This window comes from Homo sapiens, chromosome 10 (assembly GCF_000001405.40).
Source record: "Homo sapiens chromosome 10, GRCh38.p14 Primary Assembly".
In the NCBI taxonomy this organism is placed as follows: Eukaryota; Metazoa; Chordata; class Mammalia; order Primates; family Hominidae; genus Homo; species Homo sapiens.
Genome location: NC_000010.11, coordinates 7,228,001 through 7,253,114, shown reverse-complemented (window position 1 = coordinate 7,253,114; position 25,114 = coordinate 7,228,001). Strand labels below are relative to the sequence as shown.

At 41.0% G+C, this 25,114-nt stretch overlaps 1 protein-coding gene across 12 annotated transcripts in view; it reads left to right on the top strand.

Annotated features, from left to right (window-relative positions):
- SFMBT2 (Scm like with four mbt domains 2) overlaps positions 1-25,114 on the top strand; it is a 252,867-nt gene that overhangs the window by 158,376 nt on the left and 69,377 nt on the right. For all 12 annotated transcript variants that reach the window (NM_001029880.3, NM_001387890.1, NM_001387889.1 and 9 more), the window contains 2 exons: positions 4,466-4,567; positions 9,410-9,557. In NM_001029880.3, the coding sequence (NP_001025051.1) occupies positions 4,466-4,567; positions 9,410-9,557 (250 nt within the window). The remainder of the gene's footprint in view (positions 1-4,465; positions 4,568-9,409; positions 9,558-25,114) is intronic.

Sequence of the window (25,114 nt, the reverse complement as noted above, 5' to 3'; positions counted from 1 at the left end):
GTTGGGGTGCCCCCACCTCCTGGCACATGGAAGTGTTCATCAACTTGAAAAACCCCAACTCTGTCATTTAGGGTGTTCATGGGAGTTTCATTATGTAGGCACGATTGATTAAATCTTTGGCCATTGGTAATGAGCTCCATATCCAGCTCTTCTCCCCTCCCTAGTGGGTGTGGGGTGGAAAAGAACTTACAACCCTCTCTAATTATGCCTTGGGCTTTCTGGACACGAGCCCCCACCCTGAAGCTGTTTAGGGTCCCATCAAGAATGGACCCATTAGAACAAAAGAGCTCCTATCACCTGGGAAATCCCACAGGATTTAGGAGTCCTATACCAGGGACAAAGACCAATATACATTTACCACACAGCTGAAACCTGGGAGAAATAATTTAAGTTGTAGGAGATCTGAGCCAAGACTGACAGAGGGGAAACTAGTTTCTAAAATTTTTGGAATAATGCTCACTGAGCATTATTCTTAAACTGTTTAAGAATATTTTAATGTCATGCTATTTTTATTTTCATCCCGCATCCACCATGCTTGGTTTTGATGTTTTATGTTCATTGTTATAGATGAGCAAAGATGGGAAGTTTAATGATGGACGTTCGAGCACAGGACACTCTGGGAGAAAAGGAAGAGATTGTGTGTTGTCTGCAGGAAGTGGAAGTGATCCCCTCTTAACCTAGAGATGTAATTAGATGCAGAGGACGCTGAAGTCATTACCCATAAGCATTTCCAATACAGTCCGCAGCCCTGAGTGGATAGGGTTATCTCAGGGACACATTGCTGTCTGCTGTATTTCCAAGCAGCGGCAGCCACTGCCTGGTGTCTGCTAGATGACTGTGAACACAGGAAGTCCTCAGAGAGGGCAGGGCTTCTGGGGACACAGAGTTTCCACACAGCACGGGGAGCTATGATTGACAGAGCTTCCCAGAGGACTTGGAGTATGAGATAAAAGATGGGTGTGGATTTGGCTAAAGACTCCAAGTCAGCGGTCAAGGTCAGGTTGAGGGCCTGCGATGTAGAAAGGGCTTAGGGTTATGGGTAAACCCTGCTTAGAAAGCTGACTCTACTCAGAGAGCAAAGGTTGGAGCAAGCGTTTTGTGGAACAGAGAGAAGCACAGAATCTGGAATGGAGGGAATGAAGAGGGCGGGTAGACCAGAAGCCCCGTGGCTGTCAGGATGCCTCTAGAGCAGAGACTCTCAGGAAAGCCGGGGTGATAGAGGCAGCCAGGGAGAAGACCCATGCTTGTCCCCGTGCACCAGACCTCAGGAATGCCTCACCCTGTGCCTGTGGCTGGTGAGGGGCAGGCTGCAGGAGGAAAGGGGTCCTGCACAGAGAAGGAGGCTCCTGAGAAACACTGACATTCATCTGTTAGCCATCACTTATAGTTATGAATGTGCCGGGAGTGACTGAGGGCACCTCTGAGTTGTCAAACAGCATAATAATGACTGCTTAGACTTGCTGAGTACATTCAGGCTACGCTTTATTATTTCATAATTCTATAATAATTCCCCTTTTCCAAAGATGAAAGGGTTTATACTTAAATGGGGAAGGATATTTACCTGCAAAAGCTGTGATCGGGACTCATTTCCCGCTGATGGGTACTGGGGACATGGTTGTCTGACAGGAACGTTCACTTTTTGAGATGGAGTCTCACCCTGTCACCCAGGCTGGAGTGCAATGGTGTGATCTCGGCTCATTGCAACCTCTGCCTCCCAGGCTCAAATGATTGTCCTGCCTCTGCCTCCCGGGTAGCTGGGATTACAGGCTTCTGCCACCACATTCAGCTATTTTCTGTATTTTTAGTAGAGACAGGGTTTCACCTTATTGGCCAGGCTGGTCTCGAACTCCTGACCTCGTGATCTGCCTGCCTCAGCCTCCCAAAGTGCTGGGATTACAGGCAGGAGCCACTGCGTCCAGCCCACTTTTAATCTTTTTTTTTTTTAATGTTTAATTTTTTTTATTGGTACATAATAGATGTACATACTTTGGGGTACATGTGATTAATACATTCATATAATTTGTAAAGATCAAATCAGTATAATTGAGATACATATCACCTTAAATATTTGTCTTTTCTTTGTGCTAGAAACATTCAAATTAACTTTGAATCTTTGAATTCGGATGCTAGCAAGTCAATGTTGGTTTAGTTGTGATGGCGCCTCACCTGTGGCTTCTGGCCCTGCCTGGACATGATGGCTGGTGTGTGTTAATCCACATTCGCTCTCTGTACAGTAGCCTTTGATTCCTTCTGTTTCCTGATTTGCTTTCCCCCAGCCACCTTTAAAAATAAATGTTTTGAAATCAAAACCACAAGGAGATACCGTCTCACACCAGTAAGAATGGCTGTTATTAAAAAGTCAAACAAATAACAGATGCTGGTGAGGCTGTGGAGAACAGGGAACACTTACACACTGCTGGTGGGAATGTAAATTAGTTCACTCACTGTGAAAGCAGTTTTGAGATTTCTTGACTTAAAACAGCTACCATTCAACCCAGCAATCTCACTGGTGGCTGTATACCCAAAGGGAAACACATCATTCTATCAAAAAGACACAAGCACTCACACATTCATTGCAGCATTATTCACAATAGCAAAGGCATGGAATCAACCTAAGTGCCCATCAGTGATCGACTGGATAAAGAAAATGTGGTACATATATACCATGGAATATTGCATAGCCATAAAAAGAATGCAAGTATGTTCTTTGCAGCAACATGGATGGAGCTGAAGGCCGCTATTGTTAGCAAACTAATGCAGGATCAGAAAGCCAAATACCTCATGTTCTCGCTTAGAAGTGCGAGCTAGACCTTGAGCACACACGGATGTAAACATGGGACCAGTAGACACTGGAGACTACTAGAGGGGAGGGGGGAAATGAGTCATGGGTCGAAAAGTTACCTATTGGGTACTATGTTCACTACCTGAGTATAGTATGCCCATGTAACAAACCTGTGTATGTACCCCTGTATCTAAAATAAAACCTAAAAATAAATAAATTAAAGGCTTTGTTTGCAACATAAACAATGCACATCATCACCTGCACCTAATTTCCTTGTACTTTTCCTTCTGCATATAATTTTTATAAAGTGTGGATTGTAAGTTCTTAAGGAATTTGTAAATATTTAGAGTGGCCAGTTCCTTTGATTGGGTTTTGTCGTATTTGACCGCATCCTGTCTTGTTCTGATTAATGTCCTCTTTGGACATGGCCCCAGCATTCATCATGCATCCCCCAAAACAGAGACCTTTGCCGACTGCCCTGGGGACATGAAAAATGAAAGGGTCCATGCAGTTCTATAGGCGTTTACATTCTGTTAACCTTGGCAACTCGGTGCACTGGTGGAGAGTTTTATAAGCAGTTCTTCTAGTCTGATCTCCTCTTGGACGCTGACGGTACTGACCAGCTTTTGGGGGCTTTGGGGAAACAGGCACTGCCCGACTGGGCTCTGTGCAGTCCTCAGAGTTGGATATAGAGTGGCGTCGTTGGAGTAATTAAAAACCCACTTTAGATTTGCAGGTAAAAGAAAGTAACAGGTCCCCAGATATTTTTGTACTTCACACCCAATTGATGTATTTGGAAATCGCAGGATTTATTTGCAGGTATTATTTCCTCAGGGACAGACTGCAAATACATTCATTTATCCACTGCTGTTTATCCAGACTGTGAGTTATGAGGTGACCTCCATCTCCGCAAGATAAATTCTGGTATCCAGAGTCCAGCCAACCTCCTCTATTGCTGTGTAGCTGAAGTGGATATTGAAATTTGTTATCTTAGGAGGCGGGAAAGCCCCATCTCTCTCACATAAGGTTGCTGTAAGCAGGTTATAAAACTGCCAGACCCCTATTAGGAATGGGGTGTTGCTCACCTTTATTGAGTAGGAGACAGGTTCTAATCGTCTGTGGGGCAGGTTTGGATTCTTACCTGCAGGCATCTCTAAGATCATGGGATCTTGAGTACCCCTACCCTTACTCGTGCCGGTGAGCTGTGTGCCAGCTTACTTCTAGTAACTGGTAAGCTGTGTGCTCTTAGACACGGGAGGTGGTGGCAGACCTTGGGTACAAGGTGCTGACTGAAGCCCTGAGATGTGACTCCAGTAGCAAGAGACCTGGTGTTTTCTGAAGACACCCTGCTGTGTTAGGATGACAGATTGCCTCCCTTACTCTGCTGTGCTTCAGTTAATAGCACCAAGGACGAGCAAAGCAGTGTCATGTGAACTTTTGCTTAGTGTAAATTTAAGCATGGCCAGGAAGCCTTGTTGCCTCTCCCTTGGAAAAGCAATTTAGCCTGCAGAAAATAATTAAATCCGTGGTATCTGGCAATAATTAGAAATTCGAAACAGGGAAGGTTAATTGTCTCCATAAGATTTTGGTTGCCCAATAAAATGCTCCAGGAGCGCATCCGGACAGTGGCTGAGGTCATTTACAATACCGTGGCTTTCAATATTTTCATCTTTCTCCCTGCAGGATCACGCAGATTTGCGAAGCCATTTCTTCACAGTTGGGATGAAGCTTGAGACAGTGAATATGTGCGAGCCCTTTTACATCTCTCCTGCGTCGGTGACTAAGGTGGGTTTTCCTCCCTCGCTCTTCGACCCAGCCCCTAGAGTGGATCAAATTAAGCCTTTCAACTCAAAGACGACCAGATGACATATGTTCGTGCAAGGCTATCAGCAATGCCAGGCGAAGCTAAGGAAGATTGCCGCCCTTCCAGTCCAGCGCTGCTTTAAGCTGTTTTTATTACTGGTGGCACAGAGTGACTCTAATCAGATGCCCCCTCTTATCATGGATAGGGTGAATTTTCCTTGTCTTCTGATAGTTGTCCACTGACGAGTTGCAGGTTGTAATCATTACAAGAGTAATTTGTTCTTCCTGCATGGGTAGTAGTAAATATGATCTGTTTATACTTGGAAAATACATGAAAATGGTGCAAAGCAAATTCTCATCTCCCTTTTCTCAGCATTTCTGTGTTTTTTCTCATCTGCCCTTGTTGACTAAAGAAAAACTCATGCTTCTAAGATCTACAGATTCACAATAAAATTACCTTTTAACATAAAGACATTTTTATAATGATCTGTTAGTCCTTGAAGATTGTAATATCCCAGCAGGTCATGGTGGCTCATATCTATAATCCCAGCACTTTGGGAGGCCAAGGTGGAAGGATCCCTTGAGCCCAGGAGTTCAAAACCAGCCTGGGTAACATAGGGAGACCCTGTCTCTACAAACAATAAAAAAATTTTAAAAACCAGTATAATATCCATTCCCCATTAAAGAAGTTTTAATGACATAACCTCTGGTAAAATCAAAATTGCTTGTTTCTACCTTAAGTATTCTCTTACAAATGGTGCGGGAAACTTAACATTCTTGGCCGATGTGTGTTTTGGTGAATGGTCTTTTGTGTACTTCACTAGGAGAATTTAATTAAAGATTTAAATCTGTTTTAATTTCTTTTTCTTAAAGATACGGGATTTTCTTTAAGGAAAATCACTTTTCATGCAGTGATTAGTGTTTGTTACTTGAGTCATGAGTTTTTAAAAATTTATGATTTGGTAACACTTGAGGAATTTAGTAGTGTGATAATGTATTACAGAATATGGAAATTGGTTATAAAAATGAAATGCTTTCTAAATGTTTTTTCTTTAGTGAACATAAATTATTTTTATAACCATTAAAGTAGCTTATTTCAAGGATAACTTTCGGAGCTGGGCACAGTGACTCATGCCTGTAATCCTGGCACTTTGGGAGGCTGAGGTGGGATGATCACCTGAGGTCAGGAGTTTGAGACCAGCCTGGCCAACAGGGTGAAACCCCGTCTCTACTAAAAATACAAAAATTAGCCAGGTATGGTGGTGCATGCTTGTAATCCCAGCTTCTTGGGAGGCTGAGGCAGGAGAATCGCTTGAACCTGGGAAGCAGAGGTTGTAGTGAGCTGAGATCTTGCCACTGCACTCCAGCCTGGGCAACAAAGTGAGACTCCATCTCAAAACAAACAAACAACAACAAAAACAAAAAGAAACTTTAAATATTTAAGGTTATTTAAAGAAAAATATATTGGCTTTTGCTTTATAATCTGGAGGTTGAAAGTCATGTATTCCTGATTAGCATCCGTTAAAAACCTTTTATTTGAAATGGCCTTTGGAGTTCTTTACTGTGTATCCTGTCAGTTGTCGGATATTTTTCCAAAATGGACCAGTGGTGCCCTGTTGAATCCCAGCCAGAATTCCCCTTTGTTCTGTTAGTGGGTGCTGCAGTCATGCCGGCTGCCCATCTGTCTGCAGATGTATCACGCTACAGAGTCGCTTCACCTGGTATTTATCAATTAAACTCAACAGACTTGATGTGCATAGCCTGTCAGCGGTAGCGTCTCTCACCATTCTTTTTTTTTTTTTTTTTTTTTTGAGATGGAGTCTTGCTCCGTCACCCAGGCTAGAGTGCAGTGACATGATCTCGGCTCACTACAACCTCTGCCTCCCGAGTTCAAGCTATTCTCCTGCCTCAGCCTCCCGAGTAGCTGGGATTATAGGCGCCTGCCACCACGCCTGGCTAAATTTTGTGTTTTTAGTGGAGATGGGGTTTCACCGTCTTGACCAGGCTGGTCTCGAACTCCTGACCTTGTGATCTGCCCGCCTCAGCCTCCCAAAGTGCTGGGATTATAGGCGTGAGCCACTGCACCCGGCCTCTCTCACATTCTTATGCCTTTAAATAATTCTTATGCCTTTAAATAGTTGTAATATGTCATGTTAGAATGTGTCTACTAATCAAAATTAATTTCAGCCCAAATCTCTTTTTCTAGCTGAATAGACTTCCAGTGATAGTTGGTTTTTCACAGTAAATAATTTTCTCTAAATAGATCTTATTGAGGGGAGGGAGAAAGTATTTTTACTGATTTCTAAACTGTGTTTTCCTTTTTATTTTGCTTTTTCTTACCCTTTGTAGCAAAGATAAAATAAGTCATGCCGTTTCGTATACACCCCTCCTCTTATTGACCATGTTTTGTATAACACATGGATTGGGGTATGTGCATCTGTCTTTTAGAACCTAGGTAGGCACCTCTCCAGGTTCAAGACTCATCTTCATGTAATGAGGTATCAGAATACTCTTAGCGTAGAAGATATTTATAATAATTAAATGTATTTCTTTAAATATGAGGAAAGTACTTTGGAATATTATGTTTGAAAATATAACACACTGTGCTGTCATTACTCATCACAATGAAAATTTCATTTTTTTTCCACCTTGGGCCTTTTCTTCGTGGCATAACTGTTGAAGAAATATGTAAACGATGTTACAACAAACAGACAAGGATGCAGACAGACGTGTAGTGGATCCAGTATTAAATGATGAACCTCCAGCAGTCCAGCCAGGGTGTGTTTTTGGTGTTGAGATACTGGCAGATGGTGATGATGTCATCTTTGTAAGCGAAGTGTGTTGTATTGATTAGAGGAAAGGATACTGGCATTAGAAGCCTTGGGTTCTGTTTCTGTTTCTGCCATCTCTTAGCTGTGCAGTCTTGGGCAAGTCAGTTAACTGCTCTGGGCATTAGTTCTGAGTCCTGTGGGTTATGGACTGGATAGAGCACAAAACAGTGCTTCAGACCATTTAGGAACATGAGCCCTGATGGATTTGATGAAACTTACTAAGCTTTTCCTTTGGAGTGTTCCCACGTGAACATGCATTTTAACGGTTGTGGAAATTCCTTCTTTACAGGGTACCGCAGCTCCACCAAAATCACATGCTCTTTATATACGTATGTGTGTGTATGTGTATATATGCAAGATAGACTAAATAACAGTAATTTAACAGATATTTATTGAGCATTCATAGGCTCAATTCTGGACAATGTTCCCATTGTGGAGCTTTTATTTTAATGGAGGGAGACAGACTATAAACAGAATCAATAAGTAAATAAATCTAGTATGTTACATATTAAATGCTAAGGAGAAAAATACACCAAGGCAGGGATGTTGGGGTCCTGGGACTGTGCCCCCCGGTAGCAGTGAGGACCCCAGGAGGCCTTGGTGTTAGTTTCCCTGTTGGTAGGCACTTGGCTTTGCACCCTGAGCCAGATCGCCGTGCATCAGTTTTCAGGACTGTCCAGTGGAGTCCAGGTGCCCAGCAGAGTGAAAATGATAGAAGTCAAAGGATTTTCATAATCCTTTCAGGTGGTGGGAGGATGAGATTCTCAACAGGGCTCTCGGACATGACCTCACTGGGAAGGCCCCATCTGATCCTTTGTTGCTTGAAGTTGACTTTCACAGGCAAACCTTCAGTAAACTATTTACCAAAATTAGCACAGGCAAGAACAGAAGTGAATTTCCTTTCCTGCTTCACTTTGAACTAAATTGCTTCCAGAAAAAAAATGAAGGGGCCAGGAATCATAGCTTTGTAAAACTCTCAAGGTTTCCTAAGAAAGACTGGGTTATGTCTGTTGAATTGGGAAAGGGATCTTTTTTTCTGGCCTGTTTTAGATACTAAGTTACTTAAATCCATCTTGCTTTTCAGTGATGGTCCATCTGATTTTTACCCTCTGCTTTGTTTATCGGCATGTCTTGTTCTTATTTCTTCATTGATGTTTCTTCTTATATTCAGTGGACATTTATCCCGTTCCTATGTACAAAGCACTTTCTATGCATTTGGAAATACTTGTGTTAACAAAAAGACATCACTCTCCTCTAATAACTTATGCTCTATGGCATTGGAAGACTGATGTGTAATCGGTCTAGGAAGGAATGAGAGTTTTCAATACAGAAGTTGAAGTCTGAAATTTTAGGAGCGCAGAGTGAGGGCGGTTTATTCCAGCCAGATCAGAAGCATTGAAATATGAGATGTACCTTGAAAACGCACTGTGTTTTGATAGCTTAAACATGGCATTGGGGGTTGTTGTAGTCCATGAGGCTTAGTGTGAACGATTTCCTCTCGGGCTGGAGGGTGGGGTGTTCTGAGGGAAAAGGTGCAGGAGGAGGCTAGAAAGCTCCAAGCCAGATCTTGGAGATTCTTGAGTGATCTGGTGTAAAGAGTTTGGTGCTGGCTGTGGACACTGAGAAACGGTTTCACTTTTCAGTTCCTGTCTTGGCTGTCATCTAAGCTGGGGTTTGTCTGTCTGACTTCCTCCATTCATTTTTCTTCAAGCTATAGCCATTGGTTGACTTCTCTAAGTCTTTGATTTTGTTCATTCTCACTCTTCCAGATAACCTAGTTATTTATCTTTTCATTAATAGGACCACAGCAGTCAATTCTAACTTTTTATCAGCTGAATTAATTTAGTAATGGACATTGAAAATGCCAGTTTGTATTCAAATCATTTTGATGAACTATATTAATTGCCTTTGGAAGCTCTGCCACTATTTTATACTAGCATTATATGTAACTCTAAAGAATTAACCTTTGGCTCCCCCATTTTTTTTCTTTTAGGTTTTTAACAATCACTTTTTTCAAGTGACTATTGATGACCTAAGACCTGAACCAAGTAAACTGTCAATGCTGTGCCATGCAGATTCTTTGGGGATTTTGCCAGTACAGTGGTGCCTTAAAAATGGAGTCAGCCTCACTCCTCCCAAAGGTTTGTATTCTGTGAAGGTATGCAGGGTCTGGAGATTCAGGAGGGTGTCTTACTGTCATTGAAGTAACACCTGCATTAATCTGGGGAGGCTGGTTGTGTAAAGGGTTTAGATGTAGTAGAAATAGGGCGTTCTTCATCAGCTTGACATAGGTGTCAGTTACAGCTCCATCCCCTGGCGAGGCGAGTGGCCTTGGGCTTCTCACTTCTGTCCACAGGAGTTTCCCCATCCGTTACCGCATTATTGGCAGATGTGCTGCTATTGTGTAGACTTAGAGGGTGCAGCATTGCTAAGTGATTGAGCTCAAAGACTTGAAAGTGTCTGAGAAGTGGCTTTACAAATGTAACACAATGTTGGTGAAGCATTTCTTTAGAGTGTTTATTTCCAGCGAGCTAAGCTTTCTCCAGAGTCAATTTGCTTTCAGATATCCGACAATTAGATGCTATAATACTTTAAAATAATTACACTGGGAGCCAGGATGCATTAAAATAATTTTAAATTGGGATTCAAGAACCACATTGTTAGTGAATGCCAGTCTTAGAGTTTACCAGTGTGGTTTGTTGTCCTCTATAGGTCAGGTTTATTCAGGAAGAAAGCAGTAAGATGAGAGGTGAGACTAAGAGAAGAATAATAAAGGTATAGTAAGAAGAAGAAAATTGGAAAAAGATGAGAAAAGTAAACTTATTGGGGAGGATTTTAACAGACAAACTTAAATAATAAGGGGTTTTGTACTAACCTTTCCAGATCTCTAGGGATTGGATTGCTTGGGACATTAACCCTATTGGGAGAATCATGCAGTTCCCACAGGTTGAGTCCCATCTTGCCTGGTGGCCTCGCCAGTCTGTTTACATCATTTAATGGTGCCTGCCTGCTTACCTTTACTATGACTGTACTCTGCTGGGCTTTTATCTTCATTTTTCCCCATATTTGTCCTTACGGAGGAGATGCTTTTGAATATTTCCATTTCAGCTTTCAACTCTTTGGGTTAAAGTTGTGCAGTCATGGAGTTCCGCCTAATGGTATATGGTAAACTTACACAGAACACAGTTTACCAGTCACTGTTTTTAATGCCTAATTCATTCACTCCTCAAAGTGAACTATGAAGAATCTAAGTCACAGAGAGTTTATATAACTTGCGCAGGGTCATTTGGATCGTAGGTCTCCAGGCAGAGCTTGGGTCCTGGGACTGTGTCCCCTGGTAGCGGTGAGGACTCCAGGAGGCCTTGGTGTTTGTTTCTCTGTTGGTACACACTGGCTTTGCACCCTGAGCCACATCACTGCTTCAGTTTTCAAGACTGTCCAGTGGAGACACCTGTGGGAGTCCCCAGGTGCCAGCAGAGTTAAAATGAGTCGAAGGATTCTCATCCCTTTAATATGGCCTTGGGGGAGTCATATTATCAACGACCTATTGGTAGTAGGTGGGAAGTCCTTCGCTGCTGTGGAATTAGCCATAGGTCCTGTAGAGTTTGAACACCCTGTGGGCCATCTTCCTTTGCTTCCTTTGGACTTTTCTCATGGAAGTATGTGTGGGGAATGGGTCCTGTGTCATTGAAGGAAAACTTTTTCTAGATATGTAAATGCTACTTGGTTAGACTTTGCTTATTCCTCAATAGTATTAGAATCTATTATATTTAAGAATTTTGAAAAAATGGTTGGCTGTTTCCTCATTGAGTGAAAAAAAGGAAAAGTATTTATATCAGCATTTTGGCTGCTTGATCACTCCATTATGGCAGAGGTTTCATAGTTGTCAATGTTTTCAGAATTTTAAGATACATTTTCTATGAATTACATAAAAAGATCATTGACATAGCTTAGAAGTTCACCAGGAAAATGGATGTGCCTATTTGGATACTTGAGTTTTATGATATTAAGAAAATTGTTTTACATTAATGCAACTGAACTGTTAAACATTCAATGAAAGGACTGTACAAAGATATAAAATTAAATATTTTTATATTTTAAGCTTTTTATACATAATATTTAGTTATGATCATTTCTTCTCTTTTATCCAAATATTTGTGATATTTGGTAAGGTAAAATTCTCTTCATGCATTCTTCCAAACCATTCCTTTCTCTTGTTGAAAGTGAAATTTTCTTTTTCAGAAACTCAAAAGAATATTTCTTCATGGATATTATATGCAAATACATACTACACATCAAGTAGAATATTGAGTAATGGTGGCTAGTACCTTCCAATAAGAAACTATAACTCTTTTTAAACCATTAAAGCATTCAAGAAGTGGTAAATATCATTAGTTCAGTGTACTAGTCTGTTCTCATGCTGCTCATAAAGACATACCTGAGACTGGGTAATTTATATAGGAGAAGGGGTTTAATGGACTTACAGTTCCACACGGCTGGGTTAACCTCCTAATCATGGTGGAAGGCAATGAGGAGCAGGTCACGTCTTACATGGATGGCAGCATGCAAAGAGAGGGCTTGTGCAGGGAAACTCCTGTTTTTAAAACCATCAGATCTCGTGAGACTTATTCACTGTTAGGAGAACAGCCAGGAAAGACCTGCCCCCGTGATTCAATCACCTCCCACCAGGTTCCTCCCGTGACATGTGGGAATTGTGGGAGTTACAATTCAAGATGAGATTTGGGTGAGGACACAGCCAAACCATATCATTCAAGAATGTGGTAAATATCATTAGTTCAGGAATGTTTTCTTGAAATAGTAGAATTTTTACTCGTAAACCAGTAAGAAAAAGACCAGCAACTTACAGGAGTGTGGACAAAGAATAACCTCAGAAGAGCACACAATACAAGAAGCTCAGTGACTCTTGGGCAAACTTATCATAATAAGAGAAACACAGATGAAGAGAAATCCTATTGAAGTGGTGTCTGCTTATCAGATGAGACAGAAATCCCAAGGAGAAGGAACAGGAGAACCTCAGCTTGGTGAGACGGTGGAGGAATAAAGATTCTTAGACATTGCCGTTGAGAGTGCAGGAAGGTGCAAGCTGTGTGGAAGGCAGTTTGGTGGATTTTGCTAAACTTTTATTTTCCCACTGACTCAGTAATTCCACTTCTGGAAATTTCCCCTTAAGTTATAATGTAGAGATCATCTGCATAAAAGTTTGTTTTTTTTGCAGCATTATTTACAATAGCAAAAGAGTGGAAAAATTCAAGTACTTATCAGTAGGATATTGGTTAAATAGACTTTGGAGATCCTTCTAATGAGATCTGTGCCATTGTTGAAAAGAATGAGGGACGTCTCTATGAACTGATGTGGAAGGCTGTCCAAGATACACTGTGAGTGGTACAGTAGGTATCGTATGACACTTCCTATGTTAGAGAAGAGGCAAAACAGTACCTATGAGTGTTTGCTTATATTTTTGTAGTTACATAAGAAAATAATGAGAATAATTATTAGTGTTTTTGGGGTATGAGGGACAGAGGTGGGGAATGTGGCATAAGGGATGAAGGTAGACATGACGTGTAACAATACCATTTTTATCTTTTTTTCTTTTCTATCTAAATAAATGTGTTACCTATTAAAAGGTAACACATATTATTAAAAATGGAGGGTTTTTATAACTGAAAGGGATCCTAAAGATGATTTCATCAACCTTACTTATTTTATATCTAGAGAAATTGAGGCTCAGTTGTGTTAAATGACTTTGCAAATCCTGGTGCAGGGGTGCAGGGGTGCAGGGGTGTCGGGTTAAAAACCCCAGACTTAAGATACCAAATCTAACGCTTTTTCTACACAACCGTATCCACACTTCACTGCTGTTCTGTCTTGCTGATGTTTTGTAATGTTCCTCCTTCTTAGTAATTCTAGAGAGTTTGGGGGGCCTAAAGCAACCTAATTCATGTCAGTGGACCATGGCTTTACACAATTCAGATGGTCAATATATCAAAGCAGTCAGAGAATTACAATTTTAGGGAATAATTTTACAAGGGTCTGTGGTTAAAAGACAGTCATGGCTTCATTCATTGACTCCCTTACTCTCTTGTGAGAGTGCAGTATATTTATTTTTGTAATTAAACTGAATGAGCATTTAGAGGAGGAGGTGGTGGTGGTGATTGTGGTAGTGGTGTTTTACGGTTTCCTTTTGAGGTGGTTGGTTTCACATCTTGCATCTCAACACCAGGATTAAGAGTCATATTGTAGAGATGTTTCAAAGACCATTCTTCACTTTATGAAGGTATGCAAGTAGAAGCTTTTTTAAAAGTAAAAGGTTATTGTGTCTAAATTAAATTCTTAGGTTGACACGTAGAATATGTGGGATTTATTGTACATATTGCCAAGTGATTTCAGATGTTTCCACATGTGTATGTTTCCCATGAATGTATTGGGTTGTCTAAATTTCTGTTAAGAACATGGATGCTGCCTACAATTACAATGTGTTGCTTGACTTCAAAAAGAGGTTGGGAAGCAGCTGTTGAAATGAAAGACTTCCGGTGGTGTAGGAGAAATATATGCAAATAACACAGATATTTTATTGCGTTGTTTTGACTCTGTTCCTACTTAAAAAAAAAATTTGTCCTCACACCTTAGAGACAAGTGAGCTAGAGTGGATACGAGTTTTTCAGTGTGGCTTTCTGTGTAGTAAGGATTTTCCTGGTAAGCAAAAGTTAGAATGTTGGAGATTTTACTCAATTAGTTTAAACCCAATAAACAGCAAGTCAGTTTCACAGGCACTATGAAAAGTGATCAACAAATAAGTAGATCACCTAAGCAAAAATGTGTATAGGTTATCAACCATGACTTTCTATTTTAAAATTATTTCATTAACCTTTCTTGTGTCACATCAAAGATTAGTTGTATAATTAGTGGAGGAAAAGTTCCACCCAGGAACTTTTGTAGAAAATGTTCAGCCTTTAAATTTCTGCTGTAAAAGGTGTGAGCAAAGGCTGAAGTAATTGGCTTACGTTAGCACTTTGATTTGTCTCTGTTTGGCTGACCATTTAATAGACACATAAACTGTTAACACAATTTAGGAAGTAAAGGTGTATTTTAATTATTATTGAGACACAAAGCAGGGAACCGTAAGTCGTATTCTCTTTTCCTAAAGAAAAACCTCAGACACTGACTGATGAGCTTAATCCATTTTGTCACTCACGTTTCAGACATACCAAAGGGGGCAGAAAATAACATAGACGCTCATGGCCCTACCACCTTACTTCAACAGATGCTAACATTCTGCCTTGTTTGATTCGTGTTTTTCAACAATGAAATATGAAACACGAAAGCATTATAGATATAATGAAGACCAAGTCATCCTTAAGTCCTCTGTTTCTCATGCCCCATACCTCATCCATCAGGGAGTCCTGTCCACATTTTCAGAGTCTCACCACTTCTCCTCACAGCCACCTGTTTCAGGCCGCTAGTGAGTCTCACCTGGTTCCTGCAGCAGCCCCTTGTTTAACTCAGGGGTCTCTCAACACTGCAGTCAGATCGATCGTGTTAGAACATAAACCATGGGTCTCTCTGCTCAGACTGTCCAGTGCCTTCCACCCCACCCTGTGTCCAAGTCAAGACTGTGGCAACAGCCTACAGCACCCAGCCGTGCTGACTTCCACTGCCCTGTCCAGCGTCATCTCCCGACTCCCCACTCAGTCTGTCCCAGTCACTCTCATCTCCCTGACGTGGCACCTGCTGTTCCCTCTGTGCAGACACCTGTCACCTGACTCAGTCTTGACTCAAGTGCTAACTGCTTGAAGTCGTCTTTCTGGGCTTCCCTGTTCAATCTCAGTAGCAAACCACCACTCCCAACATTTGCATCTCCTTCCCTGCAGTATATCACAGACCTTATCATATAATACACAAATAAGTCATATATACGTCCCTTGTTTGTCTTGTTTTTCATTCATCTCCCCCACTAAAATGAAAGATCCACAGCAGCAGGGGTGTTTGTCAATCACCCACTAGTCATCCTCAGTAGCTGGAATAGTGGGTGGCACTTGGTAGGTATTTGTTGAGGTTGAATGAATTGAAGCTCTGTCCCCATTCTCTCCCACCCCTAGCCCTTCACCCCTCATCCTCCGCAAGGTGAGCACCCTCCTAAAGATTACATGCTTTTATGACATGACTGCATAGGCTTCTTTGTTTATGCCTTACCAGTATCATTGTTTTTATTACCGTCAAATTAAAATAGACCTTATTTGACTATATACATATATAATGCGCTATGCATATCTTTATGTAACTTTTTATTTATTAACATTTTTCAGATTTTTTTCCATGTTGGGGCATGTAGATTGTTTATTCATTTTGCTTGCTTTACGAATATACTGTAATATTTGAAAATTCCATTTTCTATTGGTGAACATTGAAGGGATTTCCAGGTTTCCCTATTGCAAGTGATCCCCAAATGTACATCCAATGTCCCCAAGTGTAAGAGGTGCTTTCAGGGGATATTCCTAAATGTGGAATTGCTGGAATTCTGTAGATAGTACCAAATACTCTCCACGTTGTGTCAGTTTACATTTCTAACATGGTGTTTGAGCATTCCCATTTTGTGTCACCCTCCCTGTTTTGCGGTATTCCCAGGATTAAGCATGGCCCCTCTGAGGGGAGTGAAGTGGATCTCCTCGTTTCAGTGAGGTGGTCCTGATCACTAGGATGGTTGAGCACTGCATCCTACCCTTACTGGCCATCTGTGGTTTTCTTCTTCGGCCCATTTTCTTTTGATCGTAGAAGTAGTTTATATATTCTAACATGAATTCTTTCTCAGCAATGTGCTTCACACATATGATAACCTAGTCTGGCTTGTTTCTTTGCTTTTTAATGGTTTTTTTTAATGGCATATTGAAGTAGTAAATTGTAATGTAGTCAAACAGCCATCTTTCCCTGTATGCATTGTTTATATACCTTTAGAATTCCTTCCTACTGATGTGTTTTCTTTAAAACTTGCAGTTTTACTTTTCCATGTTTAGCTCTGTAACCTACTTGACATTGATTTTTGTATTGGCATGAGGAAGGAAAACTATCTTATTTTTCTTGCTTGAATTGAATTGAAGTTTTTCATTTCCCCACTTGTCTCTGCATCGTTTGTTGAATGGTCTGCTGTTTCCTCTTTGATTTATAATGCCACCACTGTCATGGATCCATCCCTTTGTGGGTGTGACTCTTAACCCTGTTCTTTTTTATTCTGCCTCTTCAGTCTGTTTGTATAGCCCTGAACAAATTGTTATTACTTTATAATAATATAGTCTTGATATCTATTGTTGAGTCACTTTTTCTTTATTTTTGTTCAAAATTTTTGGTTATTTTTGGCAGGCCATTCTTGTACATTAATTTTAGCATTGGTTTGTAAGGTTCTATAAAGAGTCCCATTGGATTTCGGCATTGTGTTGAATTTATAGACTTAGAAAAATTGATATTTTCTTATATTATCTTTTTATAGCTTGCAATCTTTTCTTGGAATATTTCCTAGGTACCTTATCCTTCTGCTTGCTGTGGTGAATGGGATTTCTTTTCATTTCTTATTGGCTGTCAGCTGGTATAAGAGAGTACCACTAATTTTGTATATTTATGTCATATCTAGCTACCTTTCTAAACTGTCTCAAAAACAGTTTGTGTAAGATATGACTTTTGTGATACTTGACAGTTTGGGAAAACTGTCTTATAAACCTATCTGGAGCTGTTGATGTTGTTGGTGTTTTATTGAGTGTGAATTTATTTCCTTTCGTGGATATAAGTTTAGTCAGGGTAACCATTTGTGAGATAGTTTTGGTAATGTACATGTATTTTACAGTATTGTCTGTTTCAGCTGTATTTTCAGATTTATTGCCACATCAGTTGGTCAGGTCAAGTTTATTTATTGAAGTATTCAGATATTCTATATCCTCACTGTATTTTTATCTGTTGTTCTGTAAATTTCCAAATGGTACTTTAAAATATCATTTTGAGATTGAGGATTTGTTAGCTTCTCTTTGTTTTTGTGATGGATATGTTTGTGCAGGGTGTGTATGTGGGGTGTGTGTGTGTATCTAATATGTGATGTGTATGTGTGGTACGTCTGTGTGGTATGTGTCTGTATGTGTGTGCTGTGTGGTTGCGTGTGTGTGTGTGTGGTATGTAGTGTGTGGTGTGAGTGTGTGTGTTTGAAGTTGTGTTAAGGTGTTCAGATTCAGGATCATTAGACTGGCGGAAGCACTCTTTTTTCCTGATAAGGCATTTTGCATTAAAGTTCATTTCTCTGCCCTCCCTCAAGTTGGTTAGTTTCCTTATGTGGTTTGTGATTGTTGATTATGAACTAATTTCAGTGGTGGTTGTTATTTATGTGGCAGTTCCATGTGCCCTGGATTGAAGTCATCTCTATTTATTTGTTACTGTCTCTATCCATCCACTAGGAAATAAACTTCATAGGGTCAAGGGTATTTTTTTAATCTCTTTTGTTCACTGCTGCATCCCCAGCACCAAAAACAATGTCTGGTCCATGAGGGTGTCCCTGATTATTCAAGGAATGAGTGGCTGAATTTGATATTAATTTCTCAGTCTGTGTCCCACGGAATTGGAAAGCTGGACCCCACATCCGTGTGTGCCACTGGCCTGGGGAAGTGCATGATCTCCTTTTTTCTTCTTCAGAACCCCAGGTAGGTAGCCCATCTCTGCTGCCTCTCTGATCCAGTCAGCTTAGTTTGTCTGGTTCTATTTTCATAGACTGGGCTGCTGCCTGGGGCCAGCTGTAGATAGTAGCCTCGGGTCCTCCTGCTCATCTCCCTTGAACCAGGCTGTTGTCTGCCCTCTGTGAGCTGCTCACTGCTCAGCTCTGGCTTTCAGGGCTCTTTCAGGTTTTGGTTTTTTATTTTTTACTTTTTTTTTGGTGTCTGGAGATTTTCTTCTCTTTTGACTTGGGCTATGTAATTTTTCAAAATTATATTTCATCTGATATCTGTAGGGAGACTGTCAGATCGTCCCGCCCGGCTACTGGACTTGGAAGCAAGTCTCATTTCTAGCTTTCTGATTCATTCTTGAGCAAAACGGTCACTTTTGATTGAAAAGAGTTGGTATAGTAAAACTCTCTAGGTCATTTTTAATATCTGAAAATACTTCTGATTGTTGAAAACTAAGAAGAACCTTTTATGTTATCCTTAAATTCACTTCATTCTTCAGGATCTGTAAGATATTTTTGCCATTGACAGCTGATATTTATATGATGTTAGACCCCATCCTGGGCACATACCTGTGTCCCGTAACATTGTGTTTATAATTCAGAATAACATGTAGAACATTCCCTCAGCAGAGAAGTATATTAAGTGTCATACCATGACCAAGATGAAATACTTCTCAACATAATGTTTTAAAAGATAAGGAAGGCGGTAGGGCTAGTGCTTATATTATTGTCTTCTTTGTTTCTCTTCCTTATTTTCTGTTTGTTTGTTTGTTTTTTTCCTGCACTGTTCCATGAACGTAAAAACACAGAGTAATTCAATTGGGAATGAATGAAAGTGTCACTTTTAAAGACCAGTATCAAGGAAGGCTTGAAACTGAACATCACCCAAGACTGTGGAGGTAGCTAGAAGATTTCAAGAGGGAGGTTGTAGTTTTTTAGCAAACAGCATCGACAAGAACAAATGCTTTAGTCAGTCGCTGATGTTTGCTGTCCTGCCTGTAAGCCTGCAATGTACACAAACTCCTTTGTGAAACAGGTGGAGGCAATGTTGAGAAAGTTGTTTTCTGGAATAGACAGACTGGCTCCTGGGACAGGTTCTGCCAGCTGAGGTCTGTGCAATCTTGCCTCCCTGCCAGGGCCATGGGACATTCATCCCCTGAAGGGTTGCCACAGAGCCCCTGGCTTTAGTGGGTGTTCAAGGAATGTTGGTTGCCTCAAAAACAACAAAAACTTGGGCTTGAAAGGAGAAAGATCAGCTGTCAATTGGAAGAGTAAGGCATTGCAAAAATGCCCCGAAGTGCTGCTCTGTGAGTTGTGAAACTTTCTCAGAAAGGACTGAGAACCTGTTCTTAGAACTTAGGTTCTGTTGCATCAACATTTATGCACATATCTGGGTCCTGGTATTTGCTGACTTTGAAGATGATTGTATCACTTTTCCTTTCCAAGGGAGGTGGAACTGAAAACTAAATAAGCTTGCTATTTACACATGCTCTTCTAACATTTAATAGAGTAAACATTCTCTGGGGTGAGGAAGATCTCTCTATGGAGCTGTTTGCTCTGCAGTAGTGAGATCTTCAGAGCCTTCTTCCCTCACTCTCTGAGTGTCCCTCCATCCTTGCTTTTACCTCACTGTGTTATCGGTGTCAGGCTGTGTGTCTGTTACTCCCAGTAGTCGCTGGAGCCTGAGGATTTTGACACGTTACCAAATTGACATCTACAGTGGTTTTTTAAAGTTCCACTCCCACCACAAACACATAAAAACGCCTGCTTCCTAACAGCCTTTAGAATGGTGGATTCTTAGTGTTGTTTTTCATTCTGCCAGCCAGGTAGATAGCAAACATGGTATTCCTTTGCTATTTTTATTTTTTATTAAGATTGTATATGTATTTTTCGTAGCCACCCAGGATAGAAGAGGAGTTTTTATTCCTGCATGTCTCTTTTGTTAGAGAGAGAATTTTTTTCTGTAAACCCTTCTCCTACCCATCTTAAGCCTCCTGAAAAGGGCATATGGCTACCATGAGCATCTCAAGATGGTCCTGATTCACTTCCTCCAGGAACTGGATAAAGTCAGGATTCTACTGGCAAAGCTGGAGGAAGGCTGAGGGGAGGCAGTCATGGTGTATTTCATGTGCTGAGTGGACTCTGGATTGATCGACCAATGCCTTAATTACCATTTAAAATAGGGCAAAGATTCTGTGTTTTCAAATAATTTTTTATTAATGAAATAATTTTGTGATCATTATTAAAAACTTGGAAAAATACAAAGAGGTCAAAGAAGAAAGTAGCCAAGAGTCCCACCACCCAACAATTATTGTAATATTTATTATTAAGGTTTTTGTACATTTTCTCTGGTCTTCATCTTTGCATATTTTATATGAATCTAATAATTCTGTATATGTTTATAGCAGTCTTTTCATCTAAAGCCATAGCAGTTATTTTTTATGAATTTTTTAAAACTACGTGCCGTTTCATGCCTGTGTGGCATTCTACAGACTTGGAGAAGTCTCATCTCATTTTCTATTACTGCACAGAAGGTTATTTCATTTTTTTTCCTCCAGTGTTACCAGTCATAATGCCGTAAGTGTCTTCATGTATAACACCTTTTTCAGTTTTTAGGGTCATTTTTATGGGATAAGTTCCCAGAAGTGAAATGGTTGCGTCAAAGGGTAGGAGTTTTTTTTTAATGCCAAATAGTTTTTCCAAAGAATTGTCCATTTACACTGCCAATAATGATGTGTGCAAATAGAGCTGTTTTATGTCAATTAGTTTGTATCCGAGGGAAATGGGTCATCAACCTCTTCCCTTTTGGACCTGTAAGGGTTGAAACTTCATTCAGAATAAACACTAATAAAAGCTTAAATAAGTCTAATGGTTGTGGTTCAACAGTCTCTCAGGGAAGCTTGCTGCAAAGTTTAATTGCCTAAGGGGTTTTATTTCCTTTCATTTTCTTCTCCCCTCTGCTGTTTTCCTCCCTCCCTCCAGGTTTAAAATGTGTTTTCCTGGCCACAGTTAAGCCTTAGTACGTCTTGTTCTGTCTTTGTTGATTAATGAGTATAATTGACCCTGTCATCTCTATTATACCATCCACAGCAATTTGTTTTTATGTCGCAGTTATTTTCTGAGCTGTCACAAAACTGCCTTACAAAGACAGCTCATTATCAGCCCAAAGGAAAAGAATTTGAAATGATGAAGTGAGTAAAGGTCCCGAAGAGGAGGAGGAGGAGGGGACAGAGGAGTCTAAGCTGTTGGAATGTCAGGGAAATGAGCAACATTGTTCTAGGGACGGAATAATTAACTGTTGCTTACAACATAGCCAGCAAGACTTGATTTTATCTAGAAATTATCAGATTAGAAATGGCTCTCCATAGACAGAGTGTGGAGGACTGGGTGAATAGATAGAAGGCCTGAATGTACGTCCAAGAAAACACGAGGCATGACATTTTAGAGAGTGGGTTGAAGCTCATTAGAAGTTAGTTATAGAAAGCCCAGCTTAATGTCTTTGTGTAGGGAATAGCGGTGACTTCCAGGTGGGAAAGTTTTATCTGAACATGTATGGACCATAAAGATTACCCACATGCCAGGCTGTGTCAGAAAATGCTTTGCTATTTTTCTATATAGTTTTCTCTCATTTCCCTCCTCCCCACCCCAGGGATCTCATCTAGTTTTCTTCACTCTTGAAATTAACTCAGGAAATAGCAGAGGTCCAGGAAGAGATAGTGGAACAGAAGGAGATCTTGACTTTAACAAAGTCCGTCTTCCAAAACCCCAGACAGATGGGATCATTGTGTTACAGAGATGTGTCTTCACAGATGGAGTCGTGAGTCTTCTTAGAGGAATGCCTTGTTAGGTAACTGCTCGTCATCCAGCCACGTTACACTTTTCTTTTAGGAGCAGAGAAGGGAATTAACCACAGAGAGTTGGGGGAAAAAAATCCTTAGTAGCAACAGTAAAATAATTAGTGATGGTGGTTCTGAATCATAGAATGTGACAGCAGAGGGATCTAAAAGCTTTTCTCTTTATTTACTTTATTTTATTTATTTTTATTTCGTGTTTTGAGAGACAGAGTCTTGCTCTGTTGCCCAGGCTGGAGTGCAGTGGTGTGATGTTGGCTCACAGCAATCTCCGCCTCCGGGTTCAAGCAATTCTCCTGCCTCAGCCTCCTGAGTAGCTGGGATTACAGGCATGCACCACCACTCCCGCCTAATTTTTGTATTTGTAGTAGAGACAAGGTTTTACGATGTTGGTCAGGCTGTTCTCAAACTCCTGACCTCATGATCTGCCTCTGCCTCAGCCTCCCAAAGTGCTGGGATTATGGGTGTGAGCCACCGCACCCAGACGCTTTTCTTTTTATTTTGTGAATTTGTAGATGAGGAAAGTGGGGCACAGAAGATTTAATCTACTTTTTCCTGGCTCCCTCCCATTACTGGGAGAGCTGGGTCTTAAACCCAGATACCCTCTTCTCCAGTTCCAGGCCCTTTGTCCTGTTAAGAAACTTCTCCGTTTGACGTGTCTTGAGGCTAATTCTTCTACAGTAATATGAGGCTTTGATCCAGACAGCTCCAGAGAAACTACGCTCAAAGTGGAGGGTTTTCTTAATTGTAGAGAAACTCACATTACATTACCTTGTTTGTGAGATGTGTTCTGTTGTATTCAGAAAGGTTCAGAAGAAAGTCGGCTCTGGTCCTGTCTAGAAATCTTTGATGCAGGAGCCATTTAGCTGGAGGGGAGCTTTAGAGAGAAGGGCAGGAGAAAGGGCAGGTGGAAGAACTCGAAGAACCTCTTTGAAAGTGGCTGGAAAGAATTTTCAGTCTTTATAGAATGAAACAGCTGTCTTAAGAAAGAAGGGGACCTGCCACTGATGGTCAGCAGGATATGGGAAGGTCACGGGTCAGTCTCTGGGACCCAAGAAGCACAGCTGCTTTTTTGCTTAACTGTCACCCTCCCATCTTAAATATATATATATATATATAGGGCTGGGCGGGGTGGCTCATGTCTGTAATCCCAGCACTTTGGGATGCTGAGGTGGGTGGATCATAAGGTCAGGAGTTCGAGACCAGCCCGGCCAATATGGTGCAACCTCGTCTCTATGAAAAATAAAAATTAGCCAGGCATGGTGGCGGGCGCCTGTAGTCCCAGCTACTCAGGAGGCTGAGGCAGGAGAATTGCTTGAACCCAGGAGGCACAGGTTGCAGTGAGCCGAGATCATGCCACTGCACTTCAGCCTGGGTAACAGAGTGAGACTCCATCACAAAAAAAAAAACAACAACAACAAAAAATAGGATATATTGAGATTGCTTATTGAAAATAATTCGTATTCTTTGCTTGGGAATACAAGTGGAGGCAACCAGTATCTTCAGTGTCTTGAGTTTCTTTCTTTCTTTTTTTTTTTTTTTGAGATGGAGTCTTGCTCTGTCACCCAGGCTGGAGTGCAGTGGGGAGATCTCGGCTCACTGCAACCTCCACCTCACTGCAACCTCTGCCTCACGGGTTTGAGCAATTATCTGCCACAGCCTCCCGAGTAGCTGGGATTACAAGCACCCACCACCACACCTGGCTAATTTTTGTGTTTTTAGTAGAGAAGGGGTTTCACCATCTTGGCCAGGCTGGTCTTGAACTGCTGATCTTGTGATCCACCCGCCTCGGCCTCCCAAAGTGCTGGGATTACAGGCGTGAGCCACCGCGCCCGGCCTATGTTGAGTTTCTTTAATAAAGAATTTCCATAGTCCCTCTGCATCTGATTTAGTAACTAAAAGTCCTTATGATAAGTGAGTTTGCACTCATAGAATCTGTGACAATATGGGGAAAAGAAACTGGGGGATTTGGATAAAAAAACATAAGAAATCTCTTAGAGATTTACTTCATGTAGATTTCCACCAACAGAGAGCACTGTCAATGAAGATACTAGGGGCATTTACACACTTCAGTGAATCACAGTTGGACTGTGTTTTTCCTTTGCTTGTTTACAGGAAGGTTTTGACACCTCACTCCTTTTTCCTTGCCTGTCCATTGGTTTGATTTTGTGCCGATGAGACTCCCATTAAGAGGCATTTTCCTCCCTGGGTTATGCCTTTCTTAGGTATAATTCAGTCCTCTTTTCTCTCACCTCGTCTCCTGTCTTGCCATGGCCATGATGGACATTTATATAGTTGCATCTTCCCCCCAAAAATGAAGTGAATACAAAGAAAGAGAGAGAGAGAGGGAGGGGGAGAGAGAGAGAGAGAGAGAGAGAGAGAGAGAGAGAGAGAGAGAAAGGAAAGAAAGAAAGAAAGAAAGAAAGAAAGAAAGAAAGAAAGAAAGAAAGAAAGAAAGAAAGAAGCCACTTTAGTAGGATCTGTAGTTGGTTACATTCAGTGTATATGAAGAGTTGTTGTTCAAATGCCTCTCTCAGTATATCCAAACTGCCCCCAGAGCTTTGCAGCAGAGACCTGCCTCCTGCAATTCTCATGTTCCTTCAGCCTCAGCAGGTCAGTTCCAGGGCAACGTTTGCCTTCCTTCCCTCATTTCTCTGGGAGCTTTTCTCTCCAAACCCTCTACTCTTTGTTGCCCTCTTCTCTACCTTCTGTTACTTTTTAAAAAGTCGTCCCTGGTACTGTTTTGTTTTTTTTTTTTTTAATTTTTTATTTCCCAGTAAAATCTCATGTTTTCCATAAAGACACCGAAAAGTAAGCTCCCACGAACTCAGGCTTCCTATGAAGGGAGATGTCATTGTCTATCTCTGCACAGTGCGTGGTGAGAGTGTATTTTATGCCATATCCTGGCTCAGCTCTTCCCCCTTATGGCAAATCCCCCCACCGGCTGGTGCCGCCATGGGTAAGTTCCACCCTTCCTCACCTGGCTTCAGATAGTGTGTTATAGTAACGATGGTTTACCTGTGTTTAGTACTTTAATTTTTCCAAAATATTTCATCTGAGCTTATGAAATCTGAAGTGCTGTTAGGCATCAGAGGACATTATCTTTTGGGAGCCTAAACTTTCACCCCTTCTGATT